This window comes from Homo sapiens, chromosome 19 (genome assembly GCF_000001405.40).
Source record: "Homo sapiens chromosome 19, GRCh38.p14 Primary Assembly".
Lineage (NCBI taxonomy): Eukaryota > Metazoa > Chordata > Mammalia > Primates > Hominidae > Homo > Homo sapiens.
Window position 1 is genome coordinate 53,713,200 of NC_000019.10, and position 22,620 is coordinate 53,735,819.

General features: G+C 46.5%; 10 non-coding genes and 2 pseudogenes across 10 annotated transcripts; 10 read left to right on the forward strand and 2 right to left on the reverse strand.

The window, feature by feature from the left end:
• Positions 1-147: 147 nt before the first annotated feature.
• Positions 148-235, forward strand: MIR519D (microRNA 519d). The gene has a single exon (NR_030202.1). It is a non-coding gene; the product is annotated as a microRNA 519d (primary transcript).
• A 3,159-nt stretch (positions 236-3,394) lies between these two features.
• On the forward strand, positions 3,395-3,481 carry MIR521-2 (microRNA 521-2). The gene has a single exon (NR_030203.1). It is a non-coding gene; the product is annotated as a microRNA 521-2 (primary transcript).
• Positions 5,865-5,966, reverse strand: RNU6-803P (RNA, U6 small nuclear 803, pseudogene; annotated as a pseudogene).
• Positions 6,897-6,983, forward strand: MIR520D (microRNA 520d). Its single transcript, NR_030204.1, has one exon. It is a non-coding gene; the product is annotated as a microRNA 520d (primary transcript).
• An 893-nt stretch (positions 6,984-7,876) lies between these two features.
• Positions 7,877-7,943, forward strand: MIR517B (microRNA 517b). The gene has a single exon (NR_030205.1). It is a non-coding gene; the product is annotated as a microRNA 517b (primary transcript).
• A 1,023-nt stretch (positions 7,944-8,966) lies between these two features.
• Positions 8,967-9,056, forward strand: MIR520G (microRNA 520g). The gene has a single exon (NR_030206.1). It is a non-coding gene; the product is annotated as a microRNA 520g (primary transcript).
• Positions 9,057-12,242: 3,186 nt separating this feature from the next.
• On the forward strand, positions 12,243-12,327 carry MIR516B2 (microRNA 516b-2). The gene has a single exon (NR_030207.1). It is a non-coding gene; the product is annotated as a microRNA 516b-2 (primary transcript).
• Positions 12,328-13,722: 1,395 nt separating this feature from the next.
• Positions 13,723-13,787, forward strand: MIR526A2 (microRNA 526a-2). Its single transcript, NR_030208.1, has one exon. It is a non-coding gene; the product is annotated as a microRNA 526a-2 (primary transcript).
• A 2,851-nt stretch (positions 13,788-16,638) lies between these two features.
• On the forward strand, positions 16,639-16,726 carry MIR518E (microRNA 518e). The gene has a single exon (NR_030209.1). It is a non-coding gene; the product is annotated as a microRNA 518e (primary transcript).
• Positions 16,727-17,806: 1,080 nt separating this feature from the next.
• MIR518A1 (microRNA 518a-1) lies at positions 17,807-17,891 on the forward strand. Its single transcript, NR_030210.1, has one exon. It is a non-coding gene; the product is annotated as a microRNA 518a-1 (primary transcript).
• Positions 19,782-19,884, reverse strand: RNU6-980P (RNA, U6 small nuclear 980, pseudogene; annotated as a pseudogene).
• Positions 21,678-21,764, forward strand: MIR518D (microRNA 518d). Its single transcript, NR_030211.1, has one exon. It is a non-coding gene; the product is annotated as a microRNA 518d (primary transcript).
• Positions 21,765-22,620: the final 856 nt, after the last annotated feature.

A 22,620-nucleotide genomic window follows, 5' to 3' on the forward strand; every position in this document is an offset into this window, starting at 1 on the left:
AACTGGAGATGGTCCTTTTAGGGGTTTATGTTCTGGATTCTAGAAAACAGGCAAACAGGGCCAATAAATGCATCTTTATTGTTGTGGCCATTTTAACCTGGTCAAGGAAGATTTCAACAAAAAACCCAGAGTGCTGGAGCAAGAAGATCCCATGCTGTGACCCTCCAAAGGGAAGCGCTTTCTGTTTGTTTTCTCTTAAACAAAGTGCCTCCCTTTAGAGTGTTACCGTTTGGGAAAAGCCACGTTGAAGATGATGCTGATCTTGGTAATACATTTGCAGACCATGCTTGTAATCAGACTTGGATGATGTTGGGAGTCTGTTTTTTTGTTTGTTTGTTTGGTTGGTTTTTTTGTTTGTTAGGTTTTTGTTTTTTGTTTTGGTGTGTGTGTTTTGTTTTGTGTTTTTTTTTTTTTCTAAGACAAGGTCTCTGTTGCCCAGGAGAGACTAGAGAAGCACTTTTTAAGATAGGCCTGTTGGGCTCAGATGGTCCTTTTATGGGATACAGTCTTGCTCTGTGACCCAGACTGGAGTGCAGTGGCGCGATCTTGGCTCAATGCAACCTCCACCTCCCGGGTTCGAGTGATTCTCCTGCCTCAGCTTCCTGGGTAGCTGGGATTACAGATGCCTGACATCACACTCGGCTAATATTTGTATTTTTCTTTTTTATTCATTCATTCATTTTTGAGATGGAGTGTTGCTGTCACCCAGCCTGGAGGGCAGTGGCATGATCCCGGCTGACTCCAACCTCTGCCTCTCAGGTTCAAGCCATTCTCCTGCCTCAGTCTCCTGAGTAGGTGGAATTACAGGCACCCACCACTACAACCAGCTACTTTTTGATTTTGATTTTTTTTTTTTTTTTTTTTTTTTAGTAAAGGTGGGGTTTCACCATGTTGGCCAGGCTAGTCTCAAACCCCTGACCTCAAGTGAGCCGCTGGCCTCGGCCTCCCAAAGTGCTGAGAATACAGGCGTGAGCCACCGGGCACAGCCATCAGCACCTTTTACTTTATGGAAATTTTTCTGGCACTGGTATAGAACCTCACGTGGGGTCAGGTGGAGTTGAGGGGACCTCAGTGTCCCTGCAGATGGGATGAGCAAGAGCACGGAGGTGGAGTGCATGGGGCTTCAGTGTTTATTGGGGAAATGAAGCTGAAATCTGGGTGCATGACCAGGAGATAAATGCATGAGACGGCGGTCTCACTATGCTGCCCTGGCTGAAGTGGGCTTAGATCCTCCTGCCTCTGCCCCTCCCCAGTCCTTGGTAGATGGGACCACATGTGAATATTAACCCCCCATGCACAGACAAGAAGAAAGTAAGGACTGTTCTTTGGTTCATACCTGACCCCAGTTAAACTTGTATTTTAGATAAACAATGTATTTGAGATGTACTTGAACAACAAACGATTTGCTGTTCAGGTGTGGGCATCTTTGTTTTGTTTTTTTTTTTCCTAATTTTAAATATGGGACTAGTGTGCATATGGTGGCTCTTGTCTGTAATTCCTGCACTTTGTGAGGCTGAGACAGGAGGATCACCTGAGATCAGTTGTTCGAGACCAGCCTGGCCAACATGAAGCCAGGAGGCTGAGCTTTCAGTGAGCTGAAATCTTCTGCTGCACTCCACCCTGGGCAACAGAGTGAGACTCAGTCTCAAGAAAGTAAAAAATAGGCCGGGCGCGGTGGCGCATGCCTGTAATCCCAGCACTTTGGGAGGCCGAGACGGGAGGATCACCTGAGGTCAGGAGTTCAAGACCAACAGGGCCAACATGGCAAAGCCTCGTCTCTACTAAAAATACAAAAATTAGCTGGGTGCAATGGTGCACATCTGTAATTCCAGCTACTCCGGAGGCTGAGGCAGGAGAATCCCTTGAACCCAGGAGGAGGAGATTTCAGTGAGCTGAAATCAAGCCATGGCATTCCAGCCTGGGCCAGAGAGCAACATTCCGTCTCAAAAATAAATGAATAAATAAAATAAATAAAAATAAATAGATAAATATGGGACATCATAAATTTGGGTGTCACCTTTGTGTAGCAGCCAGCGTAATCTCTGTCATTCCAATTTTTTTTTATGTGAACTGCCAAAGCAAGCACTTGTGTAGGAATTTTTCTTCCTGTGAGCATACAATATATGGAACTTTCTTTGACACAGGGTCTCAGAAATATATGGTATATATTTCGTTATATATATACTTATATATAATATAATCATATACACACAAAATACTGTTCTAAATACAGAGAATACTCTGATATAACCTTGGGTATTTTTTTCTTTCTTTGTGTGTGTATGTTTTTTATTTGTTTGGCTGGTTTTTTTTTGTTTTTGTTTTTTGTTTTTTGTTTTTTGTTTTTGTTTTTGTTTTGAGACAGAGTCTCACTCTGTCGCCGAGGCTGGAGTGCAGTGACAGGATCTCGGGTCACTGCAAGCTCCGCCTACCGGGTTCACGCCATTCTCCTGCCTCAGCCTCCTGAGTAGCTGGGACCACAGGCACCCACCACCACACCTGGCTAATTTTTTTTTGTATTTTTAGTAGAGACAGGGTTTCGCCATGTTAGCCAGGATGATCTCGATCTCCTGACCTCGTGATCCACCCGCCTCGGCCTCCCAAAGTGCTGGGATTACAGGCGTCAGCCACCGCGCCCGGCCAGTTGGTTATTTTTGAGACAAGGTCTGGCTCTATCACCCAGGCTGGAGTGTAGTGGTGCGATCTTGGCTCACTGCAACCTCCACCTCCCACCTAAACCTGCTGAATTAGTGTCTACAGGCATGCACCACCACACCTGGCTCACTTTTGTGTTTTTCATACACATGGGTTTACACCATGTTGCTGGGGCTGGTCTCAGGAACTCCTGAGCTCAGGTGATCCTCCCGTCTTGGCCCCCTAATGTGCTAGGATTAGAGGTGTGAGCCAACCCACCCCACCCATACTTACGTATTTCTGTTCAGATTTTATTGAGTTTTTATGACCAAGCCTATGGTCTATCCTGGAGAATATTTGTGTATGTGACAATGTATATTCTTCAACATCGTAGACTCGATTTTGGGTGCTCCCATCGGGACTGTGTGTACCTGTCCTGGAACTCAAGTGCACCCTTGGCTCATAATCCATTGCTCTTCTCCAGAAATCTTACCAATTCTCCTGCTTAAATATAAGCTACGTGTAGTAGGCATTGTTTTTTCTTAGCAGATACGAAACTCAGGAAGATTGTCCTATGATAAACAAGGCTAACCTGCTGATTGTTTGAAGCAAGGAACTGGAGATGGTCCTTTTAGGGGTTTATGTTTTGGATTCCAGAAAACGTGTAAACAGGGCCAATACGTGCATCTTTATTTTGTGTCCAGTTTAGCCTGGTCAACAAAAATGTCAACAAAAAACCCAGAGTGCTGGAGTAAGAAGGTCTCGGGCTGTGACTCTCCAAAGGGAAGAATTTTCTCTTGTCTAAAAGAAAAGAACGCACTTCCCTTTAGAGTGTTACCGTGTGAGAAAAGCAATGCTGAAGTTGATGCTGATCTTGCAAATAACTTTGCAGAGCCTGCTTATAATCAGACTTTGACAATGGTGGGCGTCTGTTTTTTTTTTTCTAAGACAGGATCTCTGTTGCCCAGGCTGGAGTATGGTGGCACTTCCAACCTAGGTCTCTTGGGCTCAAATGGTCCTCTTTTTTGGGACAGAGTCTTGCTCTGTGACCCAAGCTAGACCACAGTGGCACGATCTTGGCTCACGGCAATCTCTGCCTCCCAGTTTCAAGTGATTCCCCTGCCTCAACTTCCTGAGTAGCTGGGATTATAGGTGTCTGACACCATGACTGGCTATAATTTTCATTTTTCTTATTTATTTATTTTTGAGTCTCGCTGTCTCTCAGGCTGGAGTGCAGTGGCAGCCTTTGCCTCTTGGGTTCAAGCAATTTTCCTGCCTCAGCCTCCCAAGTAGTTGGAATTATATGTGTCACCATCATGCCCTTTTTGTTTTTTTTTAGTAGAAAATGGGTTTCACCACGTTGGCCAGGCTAGTCTCAAGCCCCTGACCTCAAGTGATCCTCCCGCCTCAGACTCCCAAAGTGCTGAAAATGCAGGCGTGAGCCACTGCACCGAGCCATCAACACCTTCTACTCCATGGAAATGATACTGGCGCTGGTTTATAGAACCTCACTTGGGGTCGGGCAGATTTAAAAGGGACCTCAGGCTGGGTGTGGTGGCTGACGCCTGTAATCCCAGCACTTTGGGAGGCCGAGGCGGGTGGATCACGAGGTCAGGAGATCGAGACCATCCTGGCTAACATGGTGAAACCCTGTCTCTACTAAAAATACAAAAAATTAGCCAGGCGTGGTGGCGGGTGCCTGTAGTCCCAGCTACTCGGGAGGCTGAGGCAGGAGAATGGTGTGAACCCGGGAGGCGGAGCTTGCAGTGAGCCGAGATGGCACCACTGCACTCCAGCCTGGGCGACAGAGCAAGACTCTGTCTCAAAAAAATAAATAAATAAATAAGGGGGTGGGGGACCTCATTGTCCCTTGCAGATGGGATGTGCCCTGCTTAGCAAGAGCACGGAGGTGGAGTGCATGGCTTTGAGTTTTCACTGGGGCACGGAGGTGGAGTGCATGGCTTTGAGTTTTCACTGGGTAAATGCAGCTGAACTCTTGGCTGCACGACCAGGTCATATGTGCAACGAGACAGGGGTCTCACTATGCTGCCCAGGCTAAAATGGGCTTAGGTCCTTTTGCCTCCACCTCTCCCCAGTCCTTAGTAGCTGGGACTACATGTGAATATTAACCATGCACAGGCAAGAGGAAAGAAAGGACCGTTCTTTGGTTCACACCTAGCCGCCAGTCAAATTAGTATTTTAGATGAAGACTGCATTTGAGACATACTTGAACAACAAATGATTTGCTGTTTAGGTGTGGGCATCTTTCTTTTTTCCTAGTTTTAATAATGGCACCAGGCAGAGTACAGTGGCCCACGCCTGTAATTCCAGCACTTTGGGAGGCTGAGACAGGAGGATCACCTGAGGTCGGGAATTTGATTCCAGCCTGGCCAACATGGTGCAGCCCCATCTCTACTAAAAATACAAAATTAGCCCAGCATGGTGGTGGTATATGCTTGTAATCCCAGCTACTCTGGAGGCTGAGGCAGGAGAGTCGCTTGAAGCTGGAAGGCTGATCTTTCAATGAGCTGAGATCACGCCACTGCACTCAAGCCTCGGCAAAAAGAGTGAGACTCCATCTCAAAAACATAAAAAATAGGCCAGACACGGTGGTCCACTCCTGTAATCCCAGCACTTTGAGAGGCCAGGACAGGCGGATCTCCTCAGGTCAGGAGTCCAAGACTAGCTGGGCAAACAAGGCAAAACCTCGTCTATACTAAAATTAGGAAAAATGGCTGGGAACAGTGGTGGACACCTGTAATCTCAGCTACTTGGGAGGCCACGGCAAGAGAATCTCTTGAACCTGGGAAAAGGAGATTGCAGTGAGACGAAATCACACCATTGTACTCCATCCTGGGTGACAGAGTGAGATTCTGTTTCAAAAATTAAATAAATAGGCCGAGCACAGTGACTCATGCCTGTAATCCCAGAACTTTGGGAGGCCGAGGTGGCGGATCACCTGAGGTCGGGAGTTCAAGACCAGCCTAACCAACACGTAGAAACCCCATCTCTACTAAAAATACAAAATTAGCCGGGCATGGTGGCGCATGCCTGTAATCCCAGCTGCTCGGGAGGTTGAGGCAAGAGAATCACTTGAACCCCAGGGGGCGGAGGTTGTGGTGAGCCGAGATTGTGCCATTGTATTCCAGCCTGGGCAACGAGTGAAACTCTGTCTCTAAATAAATAAATAAAACTATTAAATAAACATTAAACGTTAAAAAATAAAAATAGATAAATATGAGATCATCATGAATTTGAGTGTCACCTTTGCGCAGGGCCCATGGTAATCTTTGTCATTCCAATTTTTTCATGCGTGCTGCCAAAGCTAGCACTTGTGTGTAGGAAGTATTCTTCCTGTGAGCATACAATATATGGAAGTTTCTTTTATTATTATTATTTTTTATGTTTTTGCGACTGAGTTTTGCTCTTGTCGCATAGGCTGAAGTGCAATGGTGTGATCTGGGCTCCCTGCGATGTCCACCTCTTGGGTTAAAGCGACTCTCCTACCTCAGCCTCCTGAGTAGCTGGGATTACAGGCATACACTTCCAGGGCTAGCTAATTTGTTGTATTTTAGTAGACGGGATTTCTCCATGTTGGTCAGGCTGGTCTCAAACTCCCGACTTCAGGTGATCTGCCCACCTTGGCTTTCCAAAGTACTGGGATTGCAGACAGCCACCGCGGCTGGCCTTCATATATTCTTATATATATAATATCATGTACACACAAAAGACTCTTTTACACCCTGAGAATACTCTTATATCACTTTGGGCATTTTTTTGTTGGTGTGTGCATTTTTTGTTTGTTCGTTCGTTTGTTTTTGAGACAAGATCTGGCCCTGTCACCTATGCTGGAGTGCAGTGGTGTGATCTCGGCTCCCGGCAACCTCAACCTCCCACCTCAGCCTCCTGAATTAGTGTCTACAGGCATGCACCTCTATACCTGGCTAACTTTTGTATTTTTACAGATGAGGTTTTACCATGTTTCCCAGGCTGGTGTCTAACTCCTGAGAATATAAGGTATATGTAGTAGGCGTTGCTTTTTCTCTTTGAAGACAAAACCCAGGACAGTTGTCCCTCGATGAACAAGGCTAACCTGCTGAACGTTTGAAGCAAGGAACTGGAGATGGTCTTTGTATCGGTTTATGTTCTAGATTCCAGAAAATATGCAAACAGGACCAATAAATGCATCTTTATTTTTGTGTCCATTTTGACCAGGTCAAGGAAAATTTCAACAAGAAACCCAGAGTGCCGGAGCAAGAAGATCTCAAGCTGTGAGTCTACAAAGGGAAGCCCTTTCTGTTGTCTAAAAGAAAAGAAAGTGCTTCTCTTTGGTGGGTTACGGTTTGAGAAAAGCAACGTTGAAGTTGATGCTGATTTCGGTAATACATTTGCAGAGCATGCTTATCACACTTGGACGATGGTGGGGTTCTGTTTTGGTTTTGCTTTTTTATTCTAAGGCTCTGTGTTGCTCATGCTGGAGTGCAGTGACATGTCCAATATATCTCTTGGCTTCAAATGGTCAGCCTGGGCAACACAGGGAAATTCTGTCTCAAAAAATAAACAAATGAATAAAAATACAAAATAAAGCCGGGCATGGTGGCTCATGCCTGTAATCCCAGCACTTTGGGAGGCCGATGCAGGTAGATCATCTCAGGTCAGGAGTTTGAGACCAGTCTGACCAACGTGGTGAAAATCCGTCTCTACTAAAAATACAATAACAACAAAAATTAGCCCAGTGTGGTGGTGGGCACCTGTAATCCCAGCTACTTAGGAGGCTGAGGCAGGAGAATTGCTTGAACCCGGGAGGCAGAGGCTGCAGTGAGCCGAGATTGTGCCACAGCATCCAGCCAGGATGACAGAGTGAGATTCCGTCTGAAAAAAAAAAAAAAAAAAAAAAGCTGGGCGCTGTGGCTCACGCCTGTAATCCCACCACTTTGAAAGGCCGAGGCGGGTGGATCACGAGGTCAGGAGATCGAGACCATCCTGGCTAACACGGTGAAACCCCATCTCTATTTAAAAATACAAAAAATTAGCGAGGCGTGGTGGTGGGTGCCTGTAGTCCCAGCTACCCGGGAGGCTAAGGCTTGAGAATGGCTTGAACCCAGGAGGCGGAGCTTGCAGTGAGCCGAGATCGTGCCATTGCACTCTAGCCTCGGCAACAGAGCAAGACTCCGTCAAAAAGAAACAAAAACAAAAACAAAAAAAAGAACCCTACAGTACTGGAGCAAGAAGACCTCATGCTGTGACCCTCTAGATGGAAGCACTGTCTGTTGTCTAAGAAAAGATCGTGCATCCCTTTAGAGTGTTACTGTTTGAGAAAAGCAACGTTGAAGATGCTGCTGATCTTGGTAATACATTTGCAGAGCGTGCTTATCATCAGACTTGCATGATGTTGGGGTTCTCTTTGGTTTGTTTTTTTCCAAGACAGGTTCCCTGTTGCCCAGGCGGGAGTGGGTGGCACCTCCAACCGAGATCTCTTGGGCTCAAGTGGTGATCTTTTTATTTTTGATTTTTTGAGATGCGCTCTCATTCCGTTTCCCAGGCTGGAGTGCAGCGGCAGGATCCCTGTTGACCGGAAACTCCGCCTCCCAGCTTCCGGCGATTCTCCCACCTCAGCCTGCCGAATAGTTGGGAATAGAGATGCCCGCCATCGTGTCCTGCTAGTTATTATTTTTATTGTTGTTGTTGTTGTTGAGATGGAGTTTCACTCTTGATGTCCAGGCTGGAGTGCAGTGTTGCAATTTAGGCTCACTGCAACCTCCACCTCCTGGGTTCAAGCGATTCTCCTGCCGCAGCCTCCTGGGTAGCTGGGATTACAGGTGCCTACTGCCCCACCCAGCTAATTTTTGTGTTTTGAATAGAGACTGGGTTTCACCATGTTGGGCAGGCTGGTCTCAAACTCCCGACCTCAGGTGATCCACCAGCCTTGGCCTCCTAAAGTGCTGGGATTACAGGCGTGAGCCACCGCCCCTAATCTCACGTGGTCCTCTAGAGTCAGCCTAGACTCTGGTCTATCCTGGAGGATGTTTGTGTGTGAGACAATGTATATTCTTCAACATCAGCCCAATTCTCTTAGCTAAATGTAAGGTATGAGTAGTAGGTATTCCTTTTTCTCTTTGGGGACAAAACTCAGGACGATCGCCCCTTGATGAACAAGGCTAACCTGCTGAGCCTTTGAAGCAAGGAATTGGAGATGGTCCTTTCAGGGGTTTATGTTCTGGATTCCATAAAACATGTAAACAGGGCCAATAAATGCATTTTTATTTTTGTATCCGTTTTAACCTGGTCAAGGAAAATTCCAACAAGAAACCCAGAGTGCTGGAGCAAGAAGATCCCATGCTGTGACCCTCTAGAGGAAGCACTTTCTGTTTGTTGTCTGAGAAAAAACAAAGTGCTTCCCTTTAGAGTGTTACCGTTTGGGAAAAGCAGTGTTGAAGTTGATGCTGATGTTGGTAATATATTTGCATGCTTATTATCAGACTTGGATGATGTTGGGGTTCTGTTTTGTTTTTGTTTTCTAAGACAGGGTCTCTGTGGCCCAGGCTGGAGTACAGAGGCACTTCCAACCTAGGTCTCTTGGGCTCATATGGTCCTTTTTGGGACAGTCTTCCTCTGTGACCCAGGCTGGAGTGCAGTGGCACGATCTTGGCTCACTGCAATCTCCACCTCGCGGGTTCAAGCTATTCTCCTGCCTCAGCTTCCTGAATAGCTGGGATTGCAGGGGCCCGACATCACACTTGGCTAATATTTGTATTTTTCTTTTTTATTCATTTATTTATTTTTGAGATGGAGTCTCGTTTCCCCAGCTGGAGAGCGGTGGCATGATCCCGACTGACTCCAACCTCTGCCTCTCAGGTTCAAGCAATTCTCCTGCCTCAGCCTCTGAAGTAGCTGAAACTACAGGTGGCCGCCACCACGCCTGGCTACGTTTTGAATTTTTTTTTTTTTTTTTTTCAGTAGAGATGGGGCTTACCATGTTGGCCAGGCTGGTCTCAAACCCCTGACCTCAAGTGAGCCACTCACCTTGGCCTCCGAAAATGCTGAGAATACAGGCATGAGCCACCACCGCGCGCCTCCCAAAGGCGTGAGCCATGGTGCGTGGCCATCAACACCTCTTACTTTATGGAAATTTTTCTGGCACTGGTATAGAACCTCACATGGGGTCAGGTGGAGTTGAGGGGACCTCAGTGTCCCTGCAGATGGGATGAGCAAGAGCACGGAGGTGGAGTGCATGGGGCTTCAGTGTGTATTGGGGAAATGAAGCTGAAATCTTGGGTGCATGACCAGGAGATAAATGCATGAGACGGGGGTCTCACTATGCTGCCCTGGCTAAAGTGGTCTTAGATCCTCCTGCCTCTGCCCCTCCCAGGCCTTGTTAGATGGGACTACATGTAAATATTAACCCATGCACAGGCAGGAAGAAAGTAAGGACCATTTTTTGGTTCGTCCCGGCCCTCAGTTAAACTTGTGTTTTAGATAAACAATGTATTTGAGATGTGCTTAAACAATAAATGATACGCTATTTAGGTGTGGGCATCTTTGTTTCCCCCTAATTTTAATGATGGGACTAGTCCAGGTATGGTGGCTCCTGCCTATAATTCCAGCACTTTGGGAGGCCGAGACAGGAGGATCACCTGAGGTCAGTTGTTCGAGACCGGCCTGGCCAACATGGTGAAACCCCGTCCATACTAAAAATACAAAAATCAGCCAGGCCTGGTTGCACACACCTGTAATCCCAGCTACTCGGGAGGCTGAGGCAGGAGACTCGCTTGAAGCCAGGAGGCTGAGCTTTCAGTGAGCTGAGATTGCGCCACTGCATTCCAGCCTGGGCAACTGAGTGAGTCTCAGTGTCAACAAAGTAAATAATAGTCTAGGCACAGCGGCACACGCCTGTAATCCCAGCACTTTAGGAGGCTAAGACGGGAGGATCACCTGAGGTCAGGAGTTCAAGACCAACGGGGCCAACGTGGCAAAGCCTTGTCTCTACTAAAACTACAAAAATTAGCTGGGTGCGGTGGTGCACATCTGTGATTCCAGCTACTCGGGAGGCCAAGACAGGAGAACCACTTGAACCCAGGAGGAGGCGATTTCAGTGAGCTGTAATGAAGCCATGGCATTCCAGCCTGGGCCACAGAGCAAGATTCCGTCTCAAAAATAAATAAAACAAATAAAAATACGTAGATAAATACGGGACCGTCGTGAATTTGAGTGTCACCTTTGTGGAGCAGCCACGGTAATCTCTGTCATTCCAATTTTTTTTATGTGCACTACCAAAGCAAGAACTTGTGTAGGAATTATTCTTCCTGTGAGTATGCGATGTATGGAACTTTCCTTGAGACAGGGTCTCAAAAATATATCATGTATATTTTATATATTCTTATCATATATAATATAATCATGTACACACAAAATACTCTTCTAAATACAGAGAATACTCTGATATCACCTTGCGTATTTTTTGTTTGCATGTGTCTGTGTTTGGTTGTTTTTTTTTTGTCATATTTTTGTATCCCTACTTATATATTTATTTTTAATTTTATTATTATACTTTAAGTTCTAGGGTACATGTGCACAACGTGCAGGTTAGTTACATATGTATACATGTGCCATGCTGGTGTGCTGCACCCATTAACTCATCATTTAGCATTAGGTATATCTCCTAATGCTATCCCTCCCCGCTACCCCCACCCAACAACAGTCCCCGGTGTGTGATGTTCCCCTTCCTGTGTCCATGTGTTCTCATTGTTCAGTTCCCACCTATGAGTGAGAACATGCGGTGTTTGGTTTTTTGTCCTTGCGATAGTTTGCTGAGAATGATGGTTTCCAGTTTCATCCATGTCCCTACAAAGGGGTTGGTTATTTTTGAGACAAGGTCTGACTCTATCGCCCAGGCTGGAGTGTAGTGGTGCCATCTCGGCTCACTGCAACCTCCACCTCCCACCTAATCCTGCTGAATTAGTGTCTGCAGGCATGCACAACCACATCTGGCTCACTTTTGTATTTTTTATACACATGGGTTTACACCATGTTGCAGGCGCTGGTCTCAAACTCCCTCCCAAGCTCAGGTGATCCTCTGTCTCAGCCTCCTAAAGTGCTGGGATTAGAGGTGTGAGCCACCACACCCCACTGGTATTTGTGTGTTCCTGTTCAAATTTTATTGAGGAGTTTTTATAACCAAGCCTGTGGTCCATCCTGGAGGATGTTTGTGTGCATGACAATGTATATTCTTCAACATCGTAGACTCGATGTTGGATGCTCCCATCGGGACTGTGTGTCCCTGTACTGGAACTCGAGTGAACACTTGGCTCTAAGTTCATTGCTGTTTTCTAGAAATCCAGCCCAATTCTCTTGGTTAAATATAAGGTGCACGTAGTAGGCATTGCTTTTTCTTTCTGGAGACAAAACTCAGGAGGATTGCCCCTTGATGAACAAAGCTAACCTGCTGAGACTTTGAAGCAAGGAACTGGAGATGGTCCTTTTAAGGGTTTATATTCTGGATTCCAGAAAATGTGCAAACAGGGCCAATAAATGCATCTTTATTTTTGTGTCCATTTTAACCTAGTCAAAGAAAATTACAACAAAAAATCCACAGTGCTGGAGCAAGAAGATCTCATGATGTGACCATCTGGAGGTAAGAAGCACTTTGTGTTTTGTGAAAGAAAGTGCTTCCTTTCAGAGGGTTACTCTTTGAGAAAAGCAGCATTGAAGTTGATGCTGATCTTGGTAATACATTTGAAGAGCATGCTTATCATCAGACTTGGATGATCTTGGGGTTTTGTTTTTTTCTAAGACAGGGTGTCTGTAGCCCAGGCTCGAGTGCGGTGGCACTTCCAACCTAGATCTCTTGGGCTCAACAAGTAGCCCTCTTTTTCGGACAGAGTCTCGCGCTGTGACCCTAGCTGGAGTGCAGTGGCAGGAACTTGGCTCACTGCCACCTCTGCCTCCTGGGTTCAAGCAATTCTCCTGCCTCAGCCTCCCGAGCAGGGTTATAGGCATGTGCCACCACACCTGGCTAATTTTTGCATTTTATTATCGATTGATTGATTGATTGTTGAGACAGAGTCTCACTCTGTTGCCCAGGCTGTAGTGCAGTGGTGTGATCTCGGCTCACTGCAACCTCCACCTCCCACCTCAGCCTTCTGAATACCTGTCTACAGGCATGCACCACCACACCTCGCCAACTTTTGTGTTTTTTGTACAGATGAGGTTTCACCATGTTGCCCAGGCTGGTCTTGAACCCCTGAGCTCAAGTGATCCTCCCACCTCGGCCTCCTAAAGTGTGAGTCACTATGTCCCGCCCTACTTGTGTGTTTCTGCTTACATTTTATTGAGGCGATTTTTTTTTTTTTTTTGAGACGGAGTCTTGGTCTGTTACCTAGGCTGGAGCGCAGTGGCGCGATCTTGGCTCACTGCAAGCTCCGCCTCCCAGGTTCATGCCATTCTCCTGCCTCAGCCTCCTGAGTAGCTGGGACTACAGGCGCCCACCACCACGCCCGGCTAATTTTTTTGTATTTTTAGTAGAGATGGAGTTTCACCTTGTTAGCCAGGATGGTCTAGATCTCCTGACCTTGTGATCCTCCCGCCTCGGCCTCCCAAAGTGCTGGGATTACAGGCATGAGCGACCGTATTGAGGCGCTTTTACAACATAGCCTGTGGTCTATCCTGGGGAATGTTTGTGTGTGTGACAATGTATATTCTTAGACATCTTAGATTCCATTTTGGATGCTCCCATCGGTACTATGTGTTCCTATATAGGAACTCAAGTGAACACTTGGCTTAAAATCCATTGCTCTTGTCTAGAAATTTAGCCCAGTTATCTTGGTTAAAGATAAGGTGTGTCTGGTAGGCATTGATTTTTCTTTCCGGAGAAAAAACTTAGGAGGATTTCCTCTTGATGAACAAGGCTAGCCTGCTGAGCCTTTGAGGCATGGGACCTGGAGATGATCCTGTGAGGGGTTTATGTTTTTGGATTCAGGAAACACACCAGCAGGACAAATAATTGCATCTTTATTTTTGTGTCTATTTTCACCAGGCTAAGGAAGATTCCAACAACATATCCATGGTGCTGAAGTAAGAAGATCTCGTGCTGTGACCCTCTAGAGGGAAGCACTTTCTGTTGAAAGAAAAGAACATGCATCCTTTCAGAGGGTTACTCTTTGAGAAGAGCAACGTTTAGTTTGATGTTGATCTTGGTAGTACATTTGCAGAGCATGCTTTTATCATCAGACTTGGCTGATGGTGGTGTTCTGTTTTTTGTTGTTGTTTTCTACAACAGGATGTCTGTTGCCCAGGCTAGGGTGTGGTGGCACTTACAACCTAGATCTCTAGGGCTCAAATGGTCCTCTTATTTGGGGCAGAGTCTTGCTCTGTGATCCAGGCTGGAGTGCAGTGGCAGGAACTCTGCTCACTGCAACCTCCGCCTCCCGGGTTCAAGTGATTTTCCTGCCTTGGTTTTCTGAGTAGGTGGGATTACAGGCGCACACCACCACACCCAGCTAGTATTTGTAGTTTTCTTTATTATTCTTTTTTTTATTTTAATTTTTGAGACGAAGTCTCGCTGTTGCCTACGGTGGAGTGCAGTGGCGTGATCTCGGCTCTCTACAACGTCTGCCTCCCAGGTTCAAGCAATTCTGCTGCCTCAGCCTCCCGAGTAGCTGGAATCAACAGGAACACACCACCATGCCTGGCTACTTTTTGGATTTTTTTTTAGTAGAGACGGAGTTTCACCATGTTGGCCAGGCTGGTCTCAAACTCCTGACCTCATGTGAGCCACCCACCTCGGCCTTCCAAAGTGCTGGAATTACAGGCATGAACCACGACGTCTGGCCTAATTTTTGTATTTTTAGAAGAGACAGGGTTTCACCATGTTGGCCAGGCTGGTCTCAGCTCCTGACCTCAAGTGATCCTCCCCCTCGGCCTCCCAAAGTGCTGGGATTACAGGCGTGAGCCACCTCGCCCAGCCTCAAGTGGTCCTCTTGACTCAGCCTCCCATGTAGTTGGGACTACATGGGGCGTGCCACCACACTTGGCTAAGTTTTTAATTTTTCATACAGATATGATCTCTGTTGCTCAGGAAGGTCTCAACACCTGAGCTCAAGGATTCCACAGGCGTGAGCCACATTCTCCTGCTGACCCTTTTCAAAGATAGTTGACATGGCCAGGCATCATGGGGCACACAGTCCCAGCCACCGCAGATCCCGGGGTGGGAGGGTCCTTTGATTTCCAGACTATTCCATGCACTGATCACACCTTGTTTTTTTGTTTGTTTGTTTGTTTGTTTGTTTGTTTGACAGAGTCTCAGTTTGTTGCCTGGCGGGAGTGCAATGATGTGATCTCGGGTGACTGCAACCTCTGCCTCCAAGGTTCAAGTGATTCTCCTGCCTCACCCTCCAAAGTAGCTGCGGTTACAGGCATGCACCACCACACCCAGCTCAGTTTTTGCATTTGGTAGAGACAGGTTTTCACCATGTTGGTCAGGCTGGTCTCGAACTCCTGATTTCAGGTGATCCACCTGCCTCAGCCTCCCAAAGAGCTGGGATTATAGGCGTTAGCCTATGCGCCCGGTCTGTATTTCCTAATTTTAAATATGGGACCCATGGTGAATTTGGGTGTCACTGTGTACAGGGGACATGGGAATCTCTGTCATTCCAATTTTTTTAATGCATGCTGTTCTGTGTAGGAATTATTCTTCCTGTGAGCAAACAACATAGAGAGCTTTCTTTTTTTGACACCGGGTCTCAAAAATATATCATATACATTTTATTATAATGTCTGATATTGATAATATAATCATACACACACAAAATACTCTTCTGTACACAGAGAATACTGATATCACTTTGGGGTTTTTTTGTTTGCGTGCGTTTTTTGGGATTTTGGGGTGTTTTTTTTTTTTTTTTTGAGACAACATCTGGCTCTGTTGCCCATGCTGGAGTGCAGTGGTGCAATTGGCTCCCTGCAACCTCCACCTCCCACCTCCCACTTCAGCCTCCTAAAGAGCTGAATACAGGCATGCACCACCACACCTGACTAACTTTTGTATTTTTTGTACACACAGGGTTTACCATGTTTCCCAGGCTGGACTGGAACTCCAGAGCTCAAGTGATCCTCCCGACTTGGCCTCCTTAAGTACTGCAGTTAGAGGTATGAGCCGCCGAGACCCACCGTACTTGTGTTTTTCTATTCAAATATTATTGAGGAGCTTTTATGGCCTAACCTGTGGTCTATCCTGGAGGTTGTTTGTGCGTACAATACATAGTCTTCAATATCTTTTTTTTTTTTTTCATTTTTTGAGAGGGAGTTTCGCTCCTGTCACCTAGGCTGGAGTGCAATGACATGATCTCAGTTCACTGCAACCTCCGCCTCCTGGGTTCAAGTGATTCTCCTGCCTCAGCCTCCTGAGTAGCTGGGATTACAGGCACCCGCCACCATGCCTAGCTAAGTTTGTATTTTCAGTAGAGACGGGCTTCTCCATGTTGGTCAGGCTGGGCTCAGACTCCTGACCTCAGGTGATCCGCCCGCCTCGGCCTCCCAAAGTGCCGGGATTACAGGCGTGAGCCACCGCGCCCAGTCATCATATATTCTTATCATATATATAGTAGGATGTTTGTGTATATAACAATGTACATTTTCAACATTGTAGATTCCATTTTGGATGCTCCCATTGGGACTGTGTGTCCCTGTGCTGGAACTCAAGTGAACACTTGGCTCAAAATCCATTGCTGTTCTCTAGAAATCCAGCCCAATTCTCTTGGTTAAATATAAGGTATGTGTAGTAGGCATTGCTCTTTCTCTTTAGAGACAAAGCTCAGGATTGCCCCTTGATGAACAAGGCTAACCTGCTGATTCTTTGAAGCAAGGAACTGGAGATGGTCCTTTTAGTGGTTTATGTTCTGGATTCCAGAAAACATGCAAACAGGGCCAATACATGCATCTTTACTTTTGTGTCCATTTTAACCCGGTGAAGGAAAATTCCAACAAAAAACCCACAATGCTGGAGCAAGATCTCAGGCTGTGACCCTCTAGAGGGAAGCGCTTTCTGTTGGCTAAAAGAAAAGAAAGCGCTTCCCTTCAGAGTGTTAACGCTTTGAGAAAAGCAACGTTGATCTTGGTAATACACTTGCAGAGAATGCTTATAATCAACCATGGAAGGTGGTGGGGTTTTGTGTTTGTTTGTTTTGTTTTGTTTTCTAAGACAGGGTGTCTGTTGCCCAGGCTGGAGTGTGGCGGCCCCTCCAACCTAGATCTCTTGGGTTCAAGTGGCCCTCTTTTTTGGGACAGAGTCTTGCTCTGTGACCCTGCCCTGGCTGGAGTGTCCTGTCAGGATCTCCACTCACTGCAACCTCTGCCTCCTGGGGTCAAGGGATTCTCCTGCCTCAGCCTCCCGAGCAGCTGGGATTACAGGTATGTGCCACCACACCTGGCTTATTTATTTATTTATTTATGAGACAGAGTCTTGCTGTGTCATCCATGCTGGAGAGCAGTGGTGCAATCTCGGCTCTCTGCAACCTCCACCTCCCACCTCAGTCTCCTGAATTAGTATCTACAGGCATGTACCACCATACCTGGCTAACTTTTGTATTTTTACAGATGAGGTTTTACCATGTTTCCCGGGCTGGTGTCTAACTCCTGAGCTCAAGTGATCCTCCTGCCTTGGCCTACGTAAGTGCTGCGGTTAGAGGTGTGAGCCACCGCGCCCCACCTGCCCTTGTGTATCTCTGTTCAAATGTTACTGAGAAGCATTTACGGGATAATGCCCGGAGGATGTTTGTGTGTGTGACAGTGTACATTCTTCAACATCTTAGATTCCATTTTGGATGCTCCCCTCGGGACTGTGTGTCTCTGTCCTGGAATTCAAGTGAACACCTGGCTCTCCATCCATTGCTGTTCTCTAGAAATCCAGCCCAATTCTCTTGGTTAAATATAAGGTAGGTGTAGTAGGCATTGCTTTTTCTCTTTGGGGACAAAACTCAGGAGGATTGCCCCTTGATGAACAAGGCTAACCTGCTGATTCTTTGAAGCAAAGAACTGGAGATGGTCCTTTTAGGGGTTTTTATTCAGGATTCCAGAAAACATGCAAACAGGGCCAAAAATTGCATCTTTATTTTTGTGTCCATTTTGACCTGGTCAAGGAAAATTTCAACAAGAAACCCAGAGTGCCGGAGCAAGAAGATCTCAAGCTGTGACTGCAAAGGGAAGCCCTTTCTGTTGTCTGAAAGAAGAGAAAGCGCTTCCCTTTGCTGGATTACGGTTTGAGAAAAACAACACTGAAGCTGATGCCGATCGTGGTAATACATTTGCAGAGCATGCTTATCATCAGGCTTGGACAATGCCGGGGTTCTGTTTTCGGTTTTGCTTTTTTATTCTAAGACAGGATCTCTGTTGCCCAGGCTGGAGTGCAGTGACATGTCCAACCCAGGTCTCTTGAATTCAAATGGTCCTTTTTAGGGGGCAGAGTCTTTCTCTGTCACCCAGGCTGATATGCAGTGAGGCGATCTCGGCTCACTGCAACCTCTGCCTCCCAGGTTCAAGCAATTCTCCTGCCTCGGCTTCCCAAGCAGCTGAGATTACAGGCGTTCATCACCATACCTGGATGATATTTGTATTTTTTAAAATTTATTTATTTATTTATTTTTGAGACGGAGTCTCGCTGTCACCCAGTCTGGAGGGCAGTGGCACAATCTCGGCTCACTGCAACCTCTGCCTCCCCGGTTCAAGCAATTCTTCTGCCTCAGCCTCCTGAGTAGCTGGAATTACAGAAGCACACCACCGCACCTAGTTACTTTTTGTATATTTTTTTTAAGTAGAGACTGGATTTCACCGTGTTGGCTAGGCTGGTCTCAAATTCCTGACCTCAAGTGATCCACCCACCTCTGACTCCCAAATTTCTGGGATCACAGGTATGCGCCCCCATGCCTGGCCTAATTTTTGTATTTTTAGCAGAGACGTGGTTTCACCATGTTGGCCAGGCTGAACTCAGCTCCTGACCTTAGGTGATCTGCCCGCCTGGGCCTCCCAAAGTGCTGAGAATACAGGCGTGAGCCACCGTGCCTGGCCATTAACACCTTTTGGTCCACGGAAATTATTCTGGCACTGGTTTATAGAACCTCGCTTGGGGTCAGGTAGAGTTGAAGGGGACCCCAATGTCCTTGCAGGTGGGATGTGCACTGCTTAGCAAGAACACGGAGGTGGAATGCATGGGGTTTGAGTTTTTATTGGAGAAATAAAGCCAAAATCTTGGGTGCATGACCAGGTCGTATATGCAACAATACGGGCGTCTCACTATGCCGCCCAGGCTAATGTGGGCTTAGATCCTCCTGCCTCTGCCCCTCCCCAGTCCTTAGTAGCTGGGACTACATGTGAATATTAACTCACGTACAGGAAGAGGAAAGTAAGGACTGTTCTTTGATTCACGTCCCACCCCCAGTTAAATTTGTATTTTAGATAAACAATGTATTTGAGATGTACTTGAACAACAAATGATTTGCTGTTTAGATGTGAGCATCTTTTTTTGCTCCTGATTTTAAACATAGGACAAGGTCAGGTATGGTGGCTCACGCCTGTAATTCCATCATTTTGGTAGGCAGAGACAGGAGGATCACCTGAGGTCAGCTGCTTGAGACCAGCCTGGCCAACATGGTGAAACCCCATCTGTACTAAAAATACAAAAATTAGCCATGCGTGGTTGTGCTGCACGCCTGTAATCCCAGCTACTCAGGAGGATGAGGCAGGAGAATCGCTTGAAGCCGGGAGGCAGAGGTTGCAGTGAGCTGAGATCGCGCCAGTGAACTACAGCCTGGGCAAAAGAATAAGATTCAATCTCAAAAAAATAAAAAATAGGCCAGGCACGGTGGCACACACCTGTAATGCTAGCACTTTTGGAGGTCGAGACGGGGGCATCACCTCAGGTCAGGAGTTGAAGACCAGCTGCGGCATCACGGCAAAGCCTCATCTCTACGAAAAATACAAAAATTAGCCAGGTGCAGTGGCAGGTGCCTGTAATACCAGCTACTCGGGAGACCAAGGCAGGAGAATCGTTCCAACTGGGCGGCAGAGGTTGCAGTGAGCCAAGATCGTGCCACTGCACTGCAGCCTGTCGACAGAGTAAGACTTGGTCTAAAAAAAAAAAATAAATAAATAAATAAAAGATAAATATGGAACCATCATGAATTTGGGTGTCACCTCTGTGTGGGGGCCAGGGTAATCTCTGTCAATCCAATTTTTTTTTATGTGCACCAGCAAAGCAAGCACTTATGTTTAGGTATTATTCTTCCTGTGAGCATACAATATGTAGATCTTTATTTTCTTTGAGACATGGTCTCAAAAATGTATGATGTGGCTGGGCACAGTGGCTCAAGCCTGTAATCCCAGCACTTTGGGAGGCTGAGGCGTGTGGATCACCCGAGGTCAGGAGTTCAAGACCAGCCTGGCCAACATGGTGAAAATCCGTCTCTACGATAAATACATATATATATATATGTATATATGCCGGGCATGGTGGCAGGTACGGGTAATCCCAGCTACTTGGGAGCCTGAGGCAGGAGAATCGCTTGAACCTGGGAGGTAGAGGTTACTCATATCACTATGAGATTGTTTTTTGTTCTTGTGTGTGTGGTTTTTGTTTGTTTTTGAGACAAGGTCTGGCTCTGTCACCCAGGCAAAAGTGTAGTAGTGCGATCTCGGCTTACTGTAACCTCCATCTCCCACCTATGCGTCCTGAATTAGTGTGTCTACAGGCATGCACCACCACAGTGGGCTACCTTTTTTTTTTGAGAGGGAATTTTGCTCTTGTTGCACAGGCTGGAGTACAATGGCAAGATTTCAGATCACTGCAACCTCCGCCTTCCGGGTTCATGTGATTCTCCTGCCTCAGCCTCCCAAGTAGCTGCGATTACAGGCATGCACCATCACACTTGGCTAATTTTGTATTTTGAGTAGATACAGGTTTCCCCATGCTTGTCAGGCTGGTCTCCAACTCCTGACCTCTAGTGATCCACCTGCCTCGGACTCCCAAATTGCTGGGATTACAGGCATGAGCTACCACACCCAGCCACCTGGCTAACTTTTGTAGTTTTTCTACAGACTACAAAATGGTTTCACCATTTTACCTGAGACTACAAAATGGTTTCACCATTTTACCTGAGACTACAAAATGGTTTCACCATTTTACCTGAGCTGGTCTCCAACACCTGAGCTAAAGTGATCCTCCTGCCTCGGCCTCATAAAATGTTGGGATTAGAGGTGTGAGCCACCGTGCCTCACCCGTACTTGTGTATTTCTTTATTTTTATTGATTTATTTATTTTGAGACAGAGTTTCACTCTTGTTGCCCAAGCTGGAGTGCAATGGCACAATCTCGGCTCAATGCAACCTCCTTCTCTTAGGTTCAAGCGATTCTCCTGCCTCAGCTTCCCGGGTAGCTGGGATTAAAGGCGTCCACCACCACACCCAGCTAATTTTTGTGTTTTTAGTAGAGACAGGGTTTCAGCATGTTGGCCAGACTGGTCTCAAACTCCTAACCTCAGGTAATCCACCTGCCTCAGCCTTCCAAACTGCTGGGATTACAGGCATGAGCCACTGCGCCTAGCCTCAAGTGGTCCTCTTAAGTCAGCCTAAACTGTGGTCTATCCTGGAGGATGCTTGTGTGTGTGACAATTTATATTCTTCAACGTCTTAGATTCTATTTTGGAGGCTCCCAAGGGGATTGTGTGTCCCTGTGCTGGAACTCAAGTGAACACTTGGCTGTACATCCATTGCTGTTCTCTAGAAATTCAGCCCAATTCTCTTGGTTAAAGATAAGGTATGTGTAGTAGGCATTGCTTTTTCTTTCCAGAGACAAAACTCAGGAGGATTGCCCCTTGATGAGCAAGGCTAACCTGCTGATTCTTTGAAGCAAAGAACCAGAGATGGTCCTTTTAGGGGTTTATGTTCTGGATTCCAGAAAACAGGCAAACAGGACCAATAAATATATTTTTATTTTTCTATCCACTTTAACCTGGTCAAGGAAAATTCCAACAAGAAACCCAGAGTGCTGGAGTGAGAAGATCCCATGCTGTGACCCTCTAGAGGGAAGCACTTTCTGTTGTCTGAAAGAAACCAAAGCGCTTCCCTTTGGAGCGTTACGGTTTGAGAAACTCAATGTTGAAGTTGATGCTGACTTCAGTAATACATTTGTAGAGGATGCTTATCATCAGACTTGGATGATATCGGGGTTCTGTGCTTTTTTTTTTTTTTTTCTCCTAAGACAAAATCTGTATTTTCCAGGCTGGAGTCCATAAGCACTTCCAACCTAGGTCTCTTGCGCTCAGATAGTCCTCTTTTTTGGGACAGAGTCTTGCTCTGTGACCCAGGCTGGAGTGCAGTGGCGTGATCTCGGCTCACTGCAACCTCTGTCTCCTGGGCTCAAGCAATTCTCCTTCCTGAGCTTCCTGAGGAGCTGGGATTACAGGCGCCTGACATCATCCTTGGCTAACATTTGTATTTTTCTTTTTTATTCATGTATTTATTTACTTTTCAGATGGAGTCTCGCTGTCGACCAGGCTAGAGGGCAGTGGCACGATCCCGGCTGACTACAACCTGTACCTCTCAGGTTCAAGCAATTCTCCTGCCTCAGCCTCTGGAGTAGCTGGAATTACAGGAACACACCACCAGGCCCGGCTACTTTTTGTATTATTATTATTATTATTATTTTTTTTTTTTTTCACTAAAGAGGGGGTTTCACCATGTTGTCCAGAGAATACAAGCATGAGCCACTGCGCAGCCATCAACACCTTTTACTGCATGGAAATTATTCTGGCACTGGTATAGAACCTCACATGGGGTCAGGTGGAGTTGAGGGGACCTCAGTGTCCCTGCAGATGGGATGAGCAAGAGCACGGAGGTGGAGTGCATGGGGCTTCAGTGTTTATTGGGGAAATGAAGCTGAAATCTTGGGTGCATGACCAGGAAATAAATGCATGAGACAGGGGTCTCACTGTGCCGCCCTGGC